The sequence below is a fragment of the Homo sapiens genome, chromosome 12 (genome assembly GCF_000001405.40).
Source record: "Homo sapiens chromosome 12, GRCh38.p14 Primary Assembly".
NCBI lineage: Eukaryota > Metazoa > Chordata > Mammalia > Primates > Hominidae > Homo > Homo sapiens.
Genome location: NC_000012.12, coordinates 42,760,468 through 42,763,683, shown reverse-complemented (window position 1 = coordinate 42,763,683; position 3,216 = coordinate 42,760,468). Strand labels below are relative to the sequence as shown.

The following is a 3,216-nucleotide window of genomic DNA, read 5'->3' as shown; positions in this document are numbered from 1 at the left end:
GACACTGCATGGAGCAGAGACAAGCTTTCCTTTCTGAGCTCTGCCCGAATTACAGATTCATGAGCAAAATAAATGATTATTGTTGTTTTAAGCAACTAGGTTTTGTTTTGTTTTGTTTTTGAGATGGAATTTCGCTCTTGTTGCCCAGGCTAGAGTGCAATGACATGATCTCGGCTCACCGCAACCTGCACCTCCTGGGTTCAAGCGATTCTCCTGCCTCAGCTTCCCGAGTAGCTGGTATTACAGGCATGCCCCACCATGCCCAGCTAATTTTGTATTTTTAATAGAGATGGGGTTTTCTCCATGTTGGTCAGGCTGGTCTCGAACTCCTGACCTCAGGTGATCCGCCTGCCTCAGCCTCCCAAAGTGCTGGGATTACAGGTGTGAGCCACTGTGCCCGACCACAACTAGGTTTTGAAGTGTTCTGTTACACAGCAAAAAAAGGTAACTGGAACAGTAAGTTTGATGGTAAGAGCAAACCACAGGGCTAATTTTATTTTTCAAGTGATTCAAAATGAAACTCAAAATCTAAATGCATTCAAACACTTCACATCTTAAAAGTATTTGTGATGATTGAAAAAAAAAAACCTGAGTATAGATTTACTTTTTAATGGAGGCTTTGTTATATAAAAGTTATTCCTGTCTTATTTCCTACTATTTGGGGTCTTAAAGTAGTAAACTTTTTAAAATTTTACAAGTCCTTTATTTCTGGATGCTATTCCTCTTTATTTCTATTTATAAACAAGTCAGTGTTTGCCTGGGTTTTATCTCTTATTTTCTAATACTTTTTAACTTCAGCTACTAATAGCCAATACACACTACTACCATTCTGTTTTCCAACCATCTCCCCTAGAGGTATGGGCTACATGGGCACATTGCCTTCCAAGTTATCACAGACAACGTTTTACCAATTGTCTTGTCACTGCATAACATGCTCCTGTTTTTCCTGTCTCTGACATTCATTTCCTCAAATCCCACCTCTTGCCACCTTCCACCAACCTCTAAGCCAATTTCACACCTTTTAGGTTGTCTTAAGGCAGAACAACACTTTGTGTCACAGAATATAAATTATGATAATGCTACCTACATAATAATACTTTTCAGTGGCTTAACCAGTGGTGTGCTGGTAAAATGACTCTCTGCAATAAAAGCCCTGATGTATAGCACTTGCCAACCTCTGTATTGTAAGTGCTCCAATCACACTGATTCCAAGCTATCAACTTGATGTCAACTGGCTTACACAATTCCTGCAAATTTAACAGTCAGCTCTTGCCAGCCAGTGAAAGCCAGATAGTTAATTTAAGCACACTAGTGAGCTGAACCCAGTGTATAAAATCCAATCAACAGTGGGAGGGTCTGAAAAAGGGAGTTTGCTTCAGAGGGACCCAGGGTGATAAAGGCTCTGGCACATACAACACATGGTTTTCAAGGTCATTTGGTGCCAAAATTTATCCAGCAGACAGGGAGGAAGGATGATGGAGGATCCCCAGGGAGGATTTTATAGGCCAGGCCTGGAAGTGATGTACATAACTTTCAGTCACATTCCATTTGCCAAAATCTAGTTTATGACTACTCCTAACCACAAGGAACGGAGGAATGTAGTCTAGTCGTATGTCCTGGTGCAAAGGGAAACAGGTTTATCTAACACCTGTCCAGTCTCTGCCACTGAACCCCAGACCCAAGTTCCAGCCCATCATGGTATCATGAATATCTTATCAAGTCACTCTGCACGGGTCAGTTTTGAGAAGGAAATGATGGCCATCACGGTATAAAGCAAGGCCTAGTGTTGTCAGGAATTATACAGTAATTGTAGCTGCAAGCACTTAAGCAGGCCCAGCTCTGATTGGCATCTTCTACCAGGTTCATGGTAGAGGTAAGTTGTTCAAGTTAAGTAACAGAACCCTAGTTTCCTTATCTGTTTATATGATCTTGAACACCCAGGATGACAAGAAAAACATTGAACTTAGAATGCAGAGGAAGTTTCATAATGAGTTCAAATCTTTAAAGAGAGACAGCTTCAGTTTTAGCAGTCAGGGATTCCTATCCCAACTTTGTCACTGTCAGCCCTAAGTTCCTTATATGAAAGTTGAATAATTATACCTAATTCACAGAATAATGATGAGTAGGTTGGATAATTACTACAAATTGCTGGCACATAGTAGTTACTCAAGAAATGTTATTCCTTCCCCCCTCCCCACCTAACAAGGGACACATTCAGCTAAATTCTAGTAGGCAAGGTTCATTGCTGGTGCTCCTCCACAGAAATTTTTAGCACCTCTACCACTTGACATGATCTATAGCAGAATCTGAAGCTTCCCTCTCTTCTCTTTTCCCAAGAAAATTTCTCTGGCCTTCTCATCTGAGTCATGCTTTGTTCTCTACTAACCAGGTTAATGTGTTTAGTAAATTTTGAACATTCTGGAGACATTGTTGTTGCCAAAATAATTGGGGGAAGAAAGTCAGAGATGCTAAACATCCTGCAATAGCCAGGAATTAGACACAAGAGAAAAATTACCCTGCCCATCGTATCAATAGTGCCTCCCACTGTAAGGAATTTAATGGTGAAAATTAAAAAAAAAAAAAAAAAAAGCTTTATAGTGGGGAAACGGAAAGAAGGACTCTTCTGAGACACCATACAATGGCCGTTCTTCTGCCCCTTAGTTTTTGACTCACGCATCTCCACTAAGGTGATTCTACAAGAGAGAAAGCCTCGCACTTTTCTCCTCCACCAAGTAGCTGGACTGCACTTCACCCCACCCCCACCCCAGGAGTACTGTGACCACTTTTTCTATGCATCTGACCTCATGATCCAAGTACACAAAATAAACTCTGTGGGAATCATCCCAAGGGTTAAAGCCATTTCTTTCCACTTAAAATGGTGATGACTGACCTGGGAAGCAATAATTAAGTCTGAGTATAGATAAACAATAGGCAAGCTTGCACAACCAAATTCCTCATTGCAATCAGGTCAAAGTTAAAACTAATGACAAGCTGTGTCAAAAATAATGACACATAAAAACCTCTCAGTCAAGTGTGTTTAGTTCACAGATAGTCACTTTTAAGCATAAAACAGGTCTCCTATTCATTTGGATGTCATGAAATGGCAAAGTTGATACTGCTTAATGTAGGAAACTATTAGCTGATGCATATTTAGATTTCTGTTTAAAAACCAGAGTGTTAAATATCTTCCCCTAAAGAGACTTTCAAGTTGATCAA

At 40.3% G+C, this 3,216-nt stretch overlaps 1 annotated feature.

Moving 5' to 3' along the window:
- Positions 432-521: a silencer, noted in NCBI's record as "silent region_4369". NCBI's record gives its function as "represses an Ori minimal core promoter by ATAC-STARR-seq in GM12878 lymphoblastoid cells {active_cell/tissue: GM12878}" and the evidence as "EXISTENCE:reporter gene assay evidence [ECO:0000049][PMID:35858748]".